The 14,927-nt window shown below is 49.0% G+C and overlaps 1 protein-coding gene across 23 annotated transcripts in view, besides 3 other annotated features; it reads right to left on the bottom strand.

Moving 5' to 3' along the window:
• CTIF (cap binding complex dependent translation initiation factor) overlaps nucleotides 1-14,927 on the bottom strand; it is a 324,187-nt gene that overhangs the window by 273,756 nt on the left and 35,504 nt on the right. The window lies entirely within an intron of this gene.
• Nucleotides 5,859-6,494: an enhancer, noted in NCBI's record as "H3K4me1 hESC enhancer chr18:46109339-46109974 (GRCh37/hg19 assembly coordinates)". NCBI's record gives its function as "activates a minimal SCP1, AML or CMV promoter by ChIP-STARR-seq in primed H9 embryonic stem cells {active_cell/tissue: H9 hESC(primed)}" and the evidence as "EXISTENCE:reporter gene assay evidence [ECO:0000049][PMID:30033119]".
• Nucleotides 6,495-7,131: an enhancer, noted in NCBI's record as "H3K4me1 hESC enhancer chr18:46108702-46109338 (GRCh37/hg19 assembly coordinates)". NCBI's record gives its function as "activates a minimal SCP1, AML or CMV promoter by ChIP-STARR-seq in naive H9 embryonic stem cells {active_cell/tissue: H9 hESC(naive)}" and the evidence as "EXISTENCE:reporter gene assay evidence [ECO:0000049][PMID:30033119]".
• Nucleotides 7,132-7,768: an enhancer, noted in NCBI's record as "H3K27ac-H3K4me1 hESC enhancer chr18:46108065-46108701 (GRCh37/hg19 assembly coordinates)". NCBI's record gives its function as "activates a minimal SCP1, AML or CMV promoter by ChIP-STARR-seq in naive H9 embryonic stem cells {active_cell/tissue: H9 hESC(naive)}" and the evidence as "EXISTENCE:reporter gene assay evidence [ECO:0000049][PMID:30033119]".

The raw sequence follows: 14,927 nt of genomic DNA, 5'->3' as shown, positions 1-14,927 counted from the left end.
ACTGGAACCCTAATCCAGGGACTGGGGTCCTTATAAGAAGAGGGAAATTTGGACACAGACACACAAGAGGAGAGTACATGTGAAGATGGAGGCAGGCAGGGGACCGGCATAGCCCTGGATCTGCCAGCCCTAACATGCCAAGGACTGTTGGGAGCTGCCTCGAGCCAGGAGAAAAGCTGGAACAGACTCCCCCTGACGGCCCTCAGAAGGAAACAGCCCTACAGATACCTTCATTCTGGACTTCCAGCCTCCAGGACTAAAAGAATGAGTTTCTGCTGTCTTAAGCCCCCCAGGTTGTGATAATTCGTGACAATAGTCCTGGGAAACTCATACACGCAGGCATGAGAGTCCCTGCCACAAACCTCCAACGACGTGACCCAGCATTTGCCCCTTCCCAGAGCCCTGGTTTTCTTAAAAAGTTGGGCTGGATTTGCTCCGACATGCAGCCCAAGGGTCTTGGATCTACTTAACCTCTGGAGGATTATGGGAGACAGGGGCGCCGGGTACATGTAGAGAGGGAGGGGAAAGGGAAAAGTCCGGTGCCCTCAGCCACTGTGTGGCTGAGGAGGTGGCAGAACAATCAGAGGGAAAAGTCTGACCTTGATCAAGGATAAGTCCAGTTCAGCTGCGCAAGCCTGCATTGGGCCCCTCCTGAGATGGGGAAGGGTAAAGAGACAGCAGTGACTCCCGCAGGGAGCCCGCCACAGGACAGCGGTGTTCTTTGTTTTAAATTTGGATCAAAGCAATAAAGGAAGACTGGGAGCAGGAGAGACTGTAGGAGGCCAGACCTCAGAAGATGCAGCCAGGAGAAGGAAGGACGGATGTGGAGCGAGCCGGGCAGGGGCAGGACAGACAGGTCAGGGAGGGTGGGGGCAGGGGTCAGGAGAGGCAGGATGCCATGTGTTTGGGGGATCAGCTAGGTGACAGGAAAGCCAGACAGGGACTGTGGATGAGGATCGCGAGCTAGATTTGGGACCACATGGTCTGAGACATCTGAGGTCCAGAGGTCCCTAAGGCAGCCAAGTGGGAGCTGGATTGGGCTCAGAAGACAGGCCTGGTGTGGAGCACACAGGTGCCAGGCAGGGCCACCTGAGAGGGCCAGAGGGTCTAGGAAGAGAGCAAGTGGAGAAGTGGCTGGGATGAAACCCCACCTTTGACAGGCCACAGAGAATGGGTTCTGGGGAATGCTGGAAAGCATGAAAGGCCTGGGGTGGTAGAGAAAGTGGAATCAGGGAGAGTGGGCTGGGGGGTGTCCTCTGTGGGAGAGGCCATGAGGATGCGAGCAAGGAAGAATGCCCATGGAGCTGCCACTTAGGAGGGTCCCAGTAATTCCCGGCTCCCCACAAGGCACAGAGGTCCTCGAAGGGTTGCTCAGTTCTGAGCCTCCCCGGGGAGATGCCCCATAAACAGTTACTGAGAAAGGAGAGAAGGAAAAGGTGGGATGAGCCAAGAGAGTAATTTAACCACATTTTCCCACTGTCAAGCACATCCATGCCTTCTCTCAGTGACTCCACAGACCCCAAGATGCCTTTGGTAAAATGGAGAAAGGCGATTGGCTGTGTGTAAGTAATCCTCTTTTCAGACACACGTAAAACAGCATAAATCAGGTAGAAATTTGATGGAATGCAAAAACGTCAAAATGGATTTTGTTTTTCATAACCCAGATGCTAAAGAAAAAATCTAAAACTAACCTGTCTTACAGGTGTCATAATCTTTTGGGGGAAAAAAGAAAAATACAGCTAAAACTCGAACTTGCAGATATTTAGAGCTGAGAATGACCTGGAAGTTTACTTAGTCACAGCCTCTCCTTTTACAGATGAGAAAAGTGAGGCCCCAAAAAGCTGGCTTGCCCACAGTCATGCCATGCATTAGTAACACAGCCAGGACTAGAACCCAGGCCTCTGAACTCCCTCCCAGGCCTCTGCTATCCGGCATGCCACAGCACAGACCAGACCAATGCCAAGCAAAATCAGATTCCATGCAGAACACCATGATGCCCACAGTGGTAGCTGGGAGGTTTAATTGTATTAAAAATTGTACCCTCAATGGCTTGGAGTTTTCGTTATTATTTTTAAAAGTGGCAGCCAGGCGCGGTGGCTCATGCCTGTAATCCCAGCACTCTGGGAGGCCGAGGTGGATGGATCATGAGGTCAGGAGTTCGAGACCAGCCTGGCCAACATAGTGAAACCCCATCTCTACTAAAAATACAAAAATTAGCCGGGCATGGTGGTGCGCACCTGTAGTTCCAGCTACTCAGGAGGCTGAGGCAGGAGAATCGCCTGAACCTGAGAGGTGGAGGTTGTGGTGAGCTGAGATCATGCCACGGCATTCCAGTCTGAGCAACAGAGCAAGACTCCGTCTCAATTAAAAAAAAAAAAAAAAAAAAGAATGTGGCTTAGTTCACTTTTTACAACACTAGAGTGGCCACAGTGGGTTGTGTAGGTTGTACAGCTGTGTTCTGAACAGGGGAGCCTGGCTAAGGGACCCAGGACAGGTTGAACTTACCTGGGTGCCACTCACTAAGCCCTAAACTTAGGATGGTGCTGTATGAGACAGGGAAGAAGCAGTTTTTCTAATGTTCCCAAAGACACTGTGTAGGAGTGGTGGCCTGATACCGCTTTGGAGTGAATCTGTTCCAAGCCTCTGAGTCTGGGTAGAGATAATATTTTTTGAAAACTGGAAACTAAGGAGGTACCCTATAAATTAAGACTCTAACTAAAATAAAAGAAAGACATAAATACATCAAAAATAGCAAAATGAGCAGAGCATAAAAAGCAAATTTATAAAGGAAGCAACAGAAACAGGTTATAAATTCCTGAAAAATCTTCGCAGTGACTAACCAAAGAAATGCAAAGGAAACTTTGGTACAATTTTACATCTATCAAATTTAAGGCCGGGCGTGGTGGCTCACGCCTATAATCCCAGCACTTTGGGAGGCCGAGGTGGGCAGATCACTTGAGGTCAGGAGTTTGAGACCAGCCTGGCCAACATGGTGAAATCCTGTCTCTACTAAAGATATGAAAATTAGCCGGGCATGGTGGCATACGCCTGTAATCCCAGTTACTTGGGAGGCTGAGACAGGAGAATCGCTTGAATCAAGGAGGTTGTGGTGAGCTAAGATTGAGCCACTGCACTCCAGCCTGGGCAACAGAGCGAGTCTCTGTCTCAAAAAAAAAAAAAAAAAAGTAAAAGTGTGGAAAGGAATGCTGATCGCCATTGTTGGGGAAACAAGTGCTCTCTGTCCGCTAACGGTAGTGAAAACATGTGCAACCTATCTTCTGCTGGGCAATTTGGCACGAGTATTTTAAAACTCGTTAAATATATGTAGAACCTAGAAATAACCAAAGATGCCTTTGACATTTCACTTACAAATATGTCTCTAGGAAAAGTGAGGGCAGAGGCCACCACCCCTGCGACAGGCATCCTCATCGCATATTTAGCTCTTGGAATCAGCATCGCCACCATCACAACACACAGAAGCAAGAGTTCACCCAAAGGGAAAACATTTGCAAGTTATTTTTTAAAACTCAACTATAAAGATTTATGAAATTGAGGCAGGAAAACAAAGCATCAGAAAAGAATCTATATGAAACAGAAAGGGAGGCACATCTGTGAGTAGCAGGCGTGCTCAGTGGCTGGGTCGACGGCTGAAACGCTCTGAGCCGATTCTGTCCCTGGGAGGTGGGAACAGTGGTCAATGCCCCTTAACAAAGTCCCAGAGAACCTCTTCAGGCTGGAGTATATTGCAGTGCTTGGATGCTCTAGCCCCTCCTAGGGATGGGATGAAAATGCCAAGTGTCCCTGTCCACAGCTTCATGTCTTAAAAATGTAGATTCTTCAAAGAGTTTTGGAGGATGCGCCACCTGCCAAGTCTCCAGGGGAAACAGTACTGTCATCCTTCCCAGCAGGTCACCCCCAGTGTGTGGATGGTGTGGGTGTCCAGGCTGTATTCCCAGGCCCTATCTCAATCACACAGAACACCATGGGATCCTCTGAATGGCTTCAGCAATGAATGCCACACACTGGCACTTCTCAAACTCTCCTTAAGGCTAGGACAGGGCAGGAGCAAGACTGCTACCCTTGGGGATCCAGAGGTAGGGTTAAGAGAAGCCCACTTTCCCCACTTTCTAAAAGGTGAATGTTTTGTCGTCAATATCCAAATGAGTTTTACATTCTGCTCTCTATCCATCCCTATATTTCAACATAAAGATAGATTTTCTTGCACGATCTTCAAATGGTGTTAACACCCCAAGAAGATGCAGCACTTTTACCCGGCAGCTTGGTCTGCCCTGGCACATGACAATGCTCTGGGTTTGAGAAATGTGGCTACACATTGTTCCCACTGCTCCTCCACCTCTGCCCCATCCGCAGGCCTCACCCTTCCAAGGAAGATTACAGAAAACCCAAAGACACACGCATGGAACAAACAGAAGTGATCTCTGTCCCCCAATAGGTGCCTCTGTCCTTTCAGAACAACTGATGGCCTTCTGGGGCAATGGAAATCACCTTTACTTGGATCTGGGGCAATGATTATAGGGGTATAAACATTTGTCAAAATCCCTCAGGCTGTGCACTTAAGATTAATGCATTTTACTGTATGTGAATTATGCTTCAGTAAAGTACTGATAATACACTAAGAGGGGACAAAACATTGATGGCTAAAGGAAGCACAGTTTGTAAACAAAATGGCACAGAGCCAGGTTCCTGGCCTTGGAGATCGTCAGAGATGGGAGAGCTTGGAGAGGACTGGGTTCAGCATGGTGGGCAGACAGTCAGAGGAGGCCTGCACTGAACATCGCCAAACTCAGGTCTCCTCTCCAGTTTGGGATGGCCTGGGCAAGTCACCAAACCTCTCTGGGCTTCTGTTTCCTTGTCTAGAAGTGGGTTAGATCTGTGGTGTGCAACTGGAGAGCTTATGAAAATGCAGGTTCTTGGACTCTGTCCTAGCTCCTACATCACACACAATGGGATTTTGGGGTACAGAAATCAGCGTTTTGATAAGCTCCTGGGTGATGGCAATGTTCAGGGCCCAGGACATTTGGGAACTGTGGACAATGTGCTTATAAAGGTCCTGACCTCCAGTAGTAATAGTCCCTGGTTTCTTGTGCAAAGAACAGCAACATATGGCTAACAGAATTGTGTAAGTAAATAAGACAATCAGAGTTGGGTGACACAGAAAGGCTTCCCATCTTATACTATCTCCAATCAGAAGCCTAAATCTAGACCATAAATCTCAAAGGGTGATCATATACAGTCGCGCAGCTTGTGTACTGCTCAAAAATATCCATCCTAGAGAGCAAGTGAGGGCCAAGAGCCAGCTCAAACCCTATTTGTTAAGCCTTGTGCCCTGGTACAAGGCTGCAGCCAGCTGGGTGGGAAGAGGGGAGGCAGGGGCCGCTTTCTTCAAAATTCATCCACCAAGATAAGAGATGTCTATTTCCGATTCTCACAAAGGTGCTGTAAGGGTTATAGAGGCCCTGTCTGATAAAAGACAAGAATCATGAAACCGTTCCTGTTCTTTCTACAAAGTATGTGTTTTCAGCCCTGTCTCCCTAAACACAAGAGAAGTGAGTGACTTAATATTCAAGGCACTTCCTGTCCTGCTTCTTCCCATCATTCCCCAACTTCATCCCAGGATCCTTGGCACTTGCTTTCCCCAGACATGACATACCTTCTGTCCATCCATGCTCAGTTCAGGCTGCCCCTGCCACCTGCTCAACTTCCCACTGGTCGACTGCCCAGTTGTTGGCACCTCCTACAAGCCCTCATGGTGGAATCGATCCTCCCTCCCTGCTCATATGCCCAGCATGGAGGACGGGGTAGTGAAGAAGACAGGCATGTTGCAGGCCCTTGCGGACCTGAGGATCTTGTAGAAGATGATTAAAACACTAATTACAGCAAAGTGTGAGTGAGGAGAGTGCATAGCAGGAGGGCACACTGTCTGTTAATTACAAACCGAGATCGGCGCCCTCTAAAAATAGTCCGACTCCTTTCCCCACCAAACTACAAATCTAAGAATAATGCGACCTGAACTCAAAGCTCTCCTGGGTTTGGTAACACTCTCATCCTCATGATGCCTAAACACTTCACACTCTGAGAAAATTAAGATAACAGGGCATTCATTAACATTTTCTGCAGCATCTAATTTCACGAACTGTGAATTCCTTTCCCCTGCTCTGCCTCCTTGTCCTTCCTCACTCTTTGGGAAGCCTAAGACTCTTAGGGCCAAAGCACTGTTGGCCCCACCCAGACAGGGCCAGATTTCCCCATGGCCAGGTCATGTGTGGGGGTCACACCAGGTGCAACTGGGGCTGTGCTCAGGCTTTGTCCAGTCCAATGGCCCAGCTGGCCCCCTGAAGGCCAGCAGTTCCCATCTGGGCACTCCCCCATCATCCTCCTCCCTCCCCTCCACCACAGCAGACATGGGGCAGAGAGGTGGGGCACACCCTGGGCATACCAGAGGTGCTGACCCTCAGCTGCCCATTTCTAAATGGCATGATGAAAGCGATTCTGCAGTGCTGGCCTGCTCTGCTGAGGAGGAAGAGTGCCCAGGAGCATGGAGTCTGGAGCCATGTGCTGGGGGTTCAGTCCAGGCTCTGCCCCTCACTAGATGTGGCACTTCAGGCAATTGCTGAAGTCTCTATGCCTCAGTTTCCTTATCTGTATGACCGGCCAACCCCACAGGGTTGTTCTAAGGACTAAACGAACTAGAGGTAATAAAACGTTTATTAGCGCAGAGCAGCAGCTCTAACCCCGTTATTACCACCACCACTACTACTACCGCAAGCACTCCCACCACCACCTCTGCACCACCACTAACCTATGCTAGCAGGGAAGCCAGGAAGGTCACAGCCGTCTCTGGGCCCAGGCACCACAGCACATAGGGGGAAGGTCAGTGCAGTGCAATGTGCCTCAGGAGCCCACGTGAAACACAGAGGGGACCCTGAGGCAGGAGGGCATGACGTGGTCCTATGCAGGCAACAAAGACGCCCTCATGTGCATGAGGCCCCCAGAAAGCCAGACAGAATCAACCCCATTCCCAGGCACCTCCTTTATCCCCAGAAGCCTGTCTTTAGGCCCTGAGGGACCTTTTATGAAAATGTCTCCCTCTCCCCTTCTTCTCTGTTCCCACGGGTGTGTCCACACCATGCGTGGTCCATGACCTCCCTGCCCTGCCCCATGGAAGCCAGCTTCTCATGCCTCCTGCCCCCTGCCGCCTTGCCAAGCCTCTACTCTCCGGCCCAGGACCCTTCCTCTGACACTGGCAGCTGTCTCGGCCAAGTCTTGCCATGCTTCCTTGCTGGCCAGAGGGTGATTACAGCACCACACTCTCAGGGTACCCAGCCCCCACACCCCACCACGCCTCCCACTTCTTGAAACAGACGGCCCCTCAGACACCAAATCGCACAGGAGGTCCCTCAGGGAGAATACAGTGACATCCTCCCTGTCCAATAAGGGTCCCTCTCCACCCAACTCCAAACCCATCATCCTTCTGGGTCTACTCACTCTCCTCAGACAGAAGGTCTGCCCCGCTTTGGCCCATATGACCTCCCCTTCCCCTGAAAGCCCCCAGCACTTATTTCCAAACCATTCCCTTTGCCACTTAATCACACTTTTCCTTGTGGAGAACTTTAACTCCTTCCCGTCTGCTGTCCCTCCCTGCCTTGCTATGACCGATAATAACACCTCCCTGGTGCCACGTGTATAAGCAGGGCTTAATAAGCTCTTGCAGGACAGATACTCATGCTAGCTCTCCAGTCCTGTGCAGGCAACAAAAAGAAAGAAATGAGGTGGAAGGGGTCACTGGCTGCCCGACCCCTGGGGCACACTGGACAGGGGTGGGGGGACCCTTCTCCCAGACATCTTTACCAGCAGAGAAAGCACTCGCTTCCCTAGCCAAGTGGCTCTTCCTCTCTCTCCCCTCAGATGAAGTGCAGTGGTTAAGGCAGTGCCAGAAAGAGACTCTGCAGGGACACAGCAAGAAGAGGAGAACCTGCCAACCCAACTCAGGCATGGGCCATGGAAAAAAAGAGAAATGGGAAAAAAGCTCTTGGAACCCAGAGATAAGATGAGGGCAGAGCCAAAACACAGCCTGAAAACCTAAGAGGGTGTCAAGAATTATTTCTGAAAATACAGGAGCAAAGTCTAATTTTCGACACAGGGCAGATAAGTTACACAATTCATGCTGGGACGTGGTACGTCTCAGGAATCTAACAACAACAACAAAAAAAACCCAAAAAAAAACAAAAACAAAAAAAAACATCAAACTCAGTCATCAGCCCCTGCATTTGCGAAAACAGTATTTGCTGTCTCACCTTCTCTCACTGTGAAATGGAAAATCTATAAAAAGGGATATTAGAGAGCTGATGCTGGAATGACGCTGAAGGAAAAATGTGTAATGGCACAGCAAAATTGTGGCATCGCATTGCTAAATGGAGAGAAGACAGCCCCCGGGCAGTACTGCAGAATGCTCTCATCTCTGGAAAGCAATACATGCGAAAGCAGTGTCAGCTGGGTGGGGCCGCGATGCCTGCAGCTAGTGGAATAGTTGATATCCAATCCCGTGCCCCCGGCCCTGGTGAATCCACATCCTGCCAGGCAGGGGACTTGTCCTCCTCTGAGGTTCAGGTCAGAACTCTAATCCTTGAGGTGGGAGTGGAAACCAAGCTGCAGGGCGGGGGAGCCAAAATTCCAAGAAAGAACTCCTCAGGATGGGAGGAGGAGCCCTGCACACTGGGACAGGCAGGACAGAGTACCCAGAAAGACGACGGTCCGGTAAACAGGGGAATGACAGTCCCAGTCAGAGAGGGTCCCGAACGGTGGTCCACAGTCAAAAACCCCACTTTCTAAGTAGTAGTGTGGTGCTCCCACCAATGGGTCATGGGGCCCAAAGGTGTCCAGGTTAAGTTAAACTTCAGGATGTGTAGAAAGCAACACAGGTGAGGTGTGATGGAAACAAAGGTGACAAGGATGTTACCACTGAAGGCGGGTGGTTGGCACAGGGCCCCCGAGAGTTAGAATGTTTCCCCAGCCTCCACCTTCATTCTTCAGTACTAAATTCTAATGCGCAGTATCTAGACAGAGATATCTTGGAACGGAGGAAGGGGCCCTGAGGCTACACTATCCCTCTGCTCTAACTCTTGTTTGCTGATTGGAGATGTGTCATTGACCCTCCTGAGGGGACCCACTCACTAAAAAGGCCTCAGTGCCAGTGACCCGCACCAAGCACTCTACCCGTGACGACAGCCACAGTAACCACAGACTCTGGCTTTCTGGTAAATTGGCTTCCACTTGGATGGGCAGCTAACCTGAGCCTCTAACAACATACAAACCTGTAGCAGAACTCTGACCCAGCCGGCAGACAGGGACCAAGCAACCAGCTCTTTTATTTCTCAGTAGATGAATGGGTGGACAGACTGATTGATGGACAGATGAACGGACGGATGGATGGATGGAGTACCACTTGAGTGAATCACTTGTCCATCAGAGACATCGTAGTTCCTTCATTTAATTATCTAACTTGTGAACATTTTTTGTACGAATGGATGAGGGTCTCCAAGAGGGTCATGACTAGGAAAGTTTACACCTGATTTGGGAGTCAGAAATATAGGCATGAAAAAATATACACACACACTAATGTGGGGTTTTTTGATCCCATGCAGCTCCTCCTTCATTCCCTTTCCCTGAAGCAGATGAATGCTAGCATCCAGAGAGACTAATAAAGACACAAAGAGACCTGGGTACACCAAGATCCATCTGAGAAAGGGACCTGGGAGTTAGGGTCAAGGTTCTGGGCTGGCAATGCAGGCCTTCCTAGAGCAGCAGGGATGCCTGGTACTTTGAGGCAGGCTAGCAGATGTGTGTGTGTGGGCTTGGGGGGAAGAAAAGGAGAGAACTAAGTTACTTTTTAGTAGGAAAGAGGCATATAAGAAAAACAAAAGGCAATTCAATGGAAAAAACATTTTCAACAAATATTGCTGAGACAACTGGGTATCTACATGTAAAACAGTAAAGATGGCCAGGCACAGTGGCTCACACCTGTCATCCCAGCACTTTGGGAAGCCGAGGCAGGCAGGTCACTTGAGGTCAGGAGTGCGAGACCAGCCTGGCCAACATGGAGAAACCCCTTCTCTACTAAAAATACAAAAATTAGCCAGGCATGGTAGCATGCACTGTAGTCCCAGCTACTCAGGAGGCTCAGGCAGGAGAATCACTTGAATTTGGGAGAATCACTTGAACCTGGGAGGCGGAGGTTGCAGTGAGCCAAGGCTGCACCACTGCACTCCAGCCTGGGCAAGAGAGCAAGACCCCATGTCAAAATAATAATAATAATAATAAGCTATGAGTATACCACTGCACTCCTGCCTGGGTGACAGAGTGAGACACTGTCTCTAACAAAATGAAACAAAACAATGAAGCTGAACCTCTAGCTCACAACATATACAAAAATTAACTCAAACTGCACCACAGACCTAAATGTCAGAGCGTTGTACAACCATGAACCTCTTAGAAGAAAACAAAAGTAAATTGTTGTGACCTTGGAATAGCCAACAATTTCTTGGATATGACACCAAAAGCACACCAATGAAACAGTAAGTAAAAGAGATAAATTGCACTTCACCAAAATTAAAAATATGTATGCTTCAAAGCAAATCATCAAGTAAAAAGACAATGCACGGAATGGGAGAAAATATTTGCAAATTCTGGTAAGGGTCTAGTATTTAGAGTATACGAAGAACTCTTACAATTCAACAATAAAAAGACAAATAACCAAACTAAAAGTTGGGCAAACAATTGATAGACATTTTTCCAAAGATATACACTTGGATAAACATCTAAACCTGAGCTTTTAACACTAAAAAGCACATGAAAAGATGTTCAACGTCATTAGTCATCAGGGAAATGCAAATCAAAACCACAATGAGATACCACTTTACACCCACTAGGATGACTATAATCAAAAAGACATAATAACAAGTGTTGGTGAGGATGTAGAGAAACTGGAACCCTCAAGCATTGCTAAAGCGATTGTAAAGTGGTGCAGCCATTTTGAAATACAACCTGGCGTTCTTCAAAAGGTTAATATAGAGTCACTATACCACCCAGCAATTCCAATCCTAGGTATATACCCAAGAGAATTAGAAACATACATCCACACAAAGACCTGTACTTGAACATTCAGAGCAGCATTATTCATAATAGCCAAAATATGGAAACAACCCCCAAAGCTCCATCCATTGACAAAGGAATACATAAAATGTAGAGTAACCACCTAATGGAACATTACTCAGTGATAAAAAAAAAATGAAGAGCTGAGATATGCCACAACATGGATGAACCTTGAAACTATTACACTAAGTGAAAGAAGCCAGTTACAAAAGAGAACATATTGTATAACTCCATGTTTATAAAATGTCCAGAATAGACAAATCTATAGAGAAAGCACATAAGTGGTTGCCTAGGGCTGAGGAAGCTGGGGAAAAATGAGAGTTATGGTAATGGGCGTAAAAGGTGAGGAAATGTCCTGGGGTTAGATAGTGTTGAGGGTTGCACAACATCGTCAATATATTTAAAACCATCCACTTTAGGCTGGACATAGTGGCTCATACCTGTAATCCCAGCACTCTGGGAGGCCCAGATGGGCGGATCACTTGAGCCCAGGAGTTCGAGGCCAGACTGGGCAACATGGTGAAATGCCTTCTCTACAAAAACTACAAAAAAATTAGCCAGGCATGGTGGTGTGTACCTGTGGTCCCAGTTACTTGGGAGGCTGAGGCAAGAGGATTGCTTCATCCTGGGAGATAGAGGCTGCAGTAAGCCATGATTGCACTACTGCACTCCAGCCTGGGTGACAAAGCGAGACTATCTCAAACAAACAAACAAAAGAAACAAGAAGACAAAAAAAATCCACTTCAAAAGGGTGAATGTTATGTTATATGAATTTTTTATCTCAAAAAAGCTTTTATCTAAAATAGGTACTAGAGAAAGAGCTGAAGATGAGGGCCACGCAGGGGCTATGGCACTATCCTTCAGTGTCCTGGCCAAAGACAAACAAAATATGGCAGAAGGGAAGTCCAGGTGTGAGAGAAGCCGGGGAAGGAACGGCGCATCTCAGCAGCAGGATCCTACACACCGTCTCTGGATTAAATCTCTTAGGGTGAAAGAATAGGGCCAACAAGACTATTTTCTTCTGGACATGGCTTTTGACATCACCCACCTTAAAAACCTAAATACCGTTGCTACCACCTGGTCCTGGGGCGGAAACACAGGTCAGATTCCAATCTACCCAAACTCCCCGCCTCAGGTGGATGAGGCAGCATTTGTCTAGAGCCACAATTTCTGTTTGTGATTTTCTCCTCACGTCTCCAACCTCAAGTCCTGGCTCCCCCAGGCCAGCCTGTGAAACTCAGTCAGTATCACACCCTGACACCAGGGCTCTGGGCAGACCCTGTCCCCGCAGATCATCCCAGGGGAATGGAGGCCACGACTTGCAATATCAAGGTGCTCTCATAGGACATATTCCACATAAGCAGCTCTCAAAGTTTTAAGAATAATTAACAATTTCACCCTTCTAGAATGTTCTCTCCTCAGTGGCGAAGCCCAGAAAACCAAAACCACACAAAAGACAAGCCCTAAACCACCAAAACAAGTTAATGGAGGAGAATAGGGAATTACGGTGTAAATAGGAGAATTTTAAAAGTGCATTTGAGCAGACCGAATCCTCCCTGCGTCCTTTTATTCTCTGCTTTCTTAGTGTCATACTCAAATCCTGTACTCAGGGCACCATGGAACCTTGTTTCATTTGGTATTACGGAGAGACTTAGTGTCAGCAATTAAACGGTTACGCCCCGGCTGGCACAGCGAATCTGGAAAAAGAACCTCCATTCAGAGGTGGCTTCTCCCGGCTTATTTCTGCTGTTTGTGTTGGCTGAAGCAGAGAACCGCATAGAAAGAGGACTCTCAACGTGAGCAGAGTGGCAAGTGGGACCCAGGGTGAGGGCAGCGCCTAAATGGGCAGACAGCAAGGTCCGCAGATGAACCAAAAGGCCATCTCAAGAAGGGACTTCACTGGCACCAGTACCCCGCCTCCCTTCCCCAGCTACCGCAAATTCTTCTATCTCTTCAGCTTTGCAATGACAATGGCCAGGCCAGAGGACAGGGGAACACATCACGCGACACTGAGTGTTCCTCCCTTGGGTCAGCAGCTGGCCTGGGCAAAGCCCAGAAGGCCACATATTTGATCTTCCAAAGGTCAACCCTGCCCCGGGCAGCCTCAGTGCAAGTGACCATACACCCCCAAAACACAGGCCCCATCCTCGGCGCCTCTCGGGCCAGGGCAAGGGGGCACACCTGGGTGCTCTGTACACAGGCGCCGCTGCCCGAGGACCGGGAGGGACAATCCACAAGCCTGCATTGTTCTTCGGCGGCTCTCTGAGGCCGATTGTTCCACAGTGCACGTTTCTGCAGCACAGGCCCTGCCTGGCATGTGTGGGTCTCCACAAATGTTTGTGGTTGGCTCCCCAGGGTGAAAAGCAAGAGTTAGAGTCAGCAAAGCACTCTCATTGACTAGGCCTTCGTCCAGGCAAAAGCCCTTACTCCAACAGTTTACCTTGGAGAGAGAAGGCTGCACGGGGTGGTTGCTGTTCTGTGTTTACTGTGGATAACTAGGGCTTGGGGTTGCGGCCACAGCCCAGCACATGTGTGTGCACAAAGCAGCCTTCATCAAAAGGCATCCGGGGCAGGGAGGCTTTAGGACGGCCCCGGTCTGAGCCTGAGGGCAGAGACCCTCCCGGGAGAGCAAAGCTGCATCTCCACGGACCTTCCATCCCCTCAGAGGGTGAGGGAGCCTCTCAATGGGGGTGCATAGATAAATAAAGCCTGTGCTGGGGGTTGCAGGGCTTGGAGGTCCTGACACCGCAACTCTGTTCCACTCACAGTGCGCTGCTGTAATCCAGCTGGGTCAGCTTTAAACCCCTGAAGGCAAAAGAAAATCGAAAATTAATCTAATTAAAGTCGGCAGTGTTCACAGTAAGGAAAATTCTGGTATTTTGCCAAGAGTCTCTGTCACTGGCCAGCTTTGTGGGAAAAAGGCACGGGGTCTGGATCCCAGTGGGTTGAAGATGGAGTTCTGGTTCTGTTACTCGGCCGTGTTGCCATAGAACAGCTGTCGGGGGGCAAAGCATCACCTGCATTACAGAACTGTTTTGAGGGTACATGAGAAAAGATGTAAAAGATGTAAAGTCCCTGGTAAATTTTAAACACTCAACAAAAGTGGCTGGACTCAAGGCCTACGTGCTGACCTGACGGCGGCCTGCTTGGCCACCTCAAAAGGGGAAGCTGGGACCTTTCCCCTGCACCCTGGACCCTGCCCCCAGGAGTCCTGGCAGAGGCGGGGCTCCCTGTGTCTGGAACTGGGAGCTCCAAGGAGCAAAATTCTGAAAACCTGGTCATACCCAGTTCCCAACACCTGTCATCACTATTACTCTTTATCTCATTTGGCCCTCCAAGCAGCCCCTTGAGGTAGACATGTGGCTAGCCCATATTTCTATTCTCCCCATTTTAAAGATTCAGAGAGGGAGTGAGTCTTGGGCCAGGTCACACAGGAAGTCACCTACCTCAAGAGCTGGGTCTCTGACAGTCCAGGGCTGTGTCTAATGAAAGAGCTAACATTGATCGAGTGTCCCAGCATTTCACACCACACTCCTAGGGGACGAGATAGTCGCCACACTTCCCAGTGTGTGGCTGGATGCTCAGAAACGTAGCGCAAGTGACTCCGGGTCTAGCAGCTTTTGCTTTTCTGTTCTGAGGGAAGCCAGTCACCTTTCAATAAAGCCAACAACACCATGCTGAAAGGAGGCCCAAGCTAACCACACACAGACACCACGCAGAGAAGAATGGAGGGTCCCAAGCGGCCCTGGGCTGAACCA

The sequence above is a fragment of the Homo sapiens genome, chromosome 18 (genome assembly GCF_000001405.40).
Source record: "Homo sapiens chromosome 18, GRCh38.p14 Primary Assembly".
In the NCBI taxonomy this organism is placed as follows: Eukaryota; Metazoa; Chordata; class Mammalia; order Primates; family Hominidae; genus Homo; species Homo sapiens.
The sequence above is the reverse complement of the archived record's forward strand: the minus strand, read 5'-3'. Positions and strand labels throughout refer to the sequence as shown.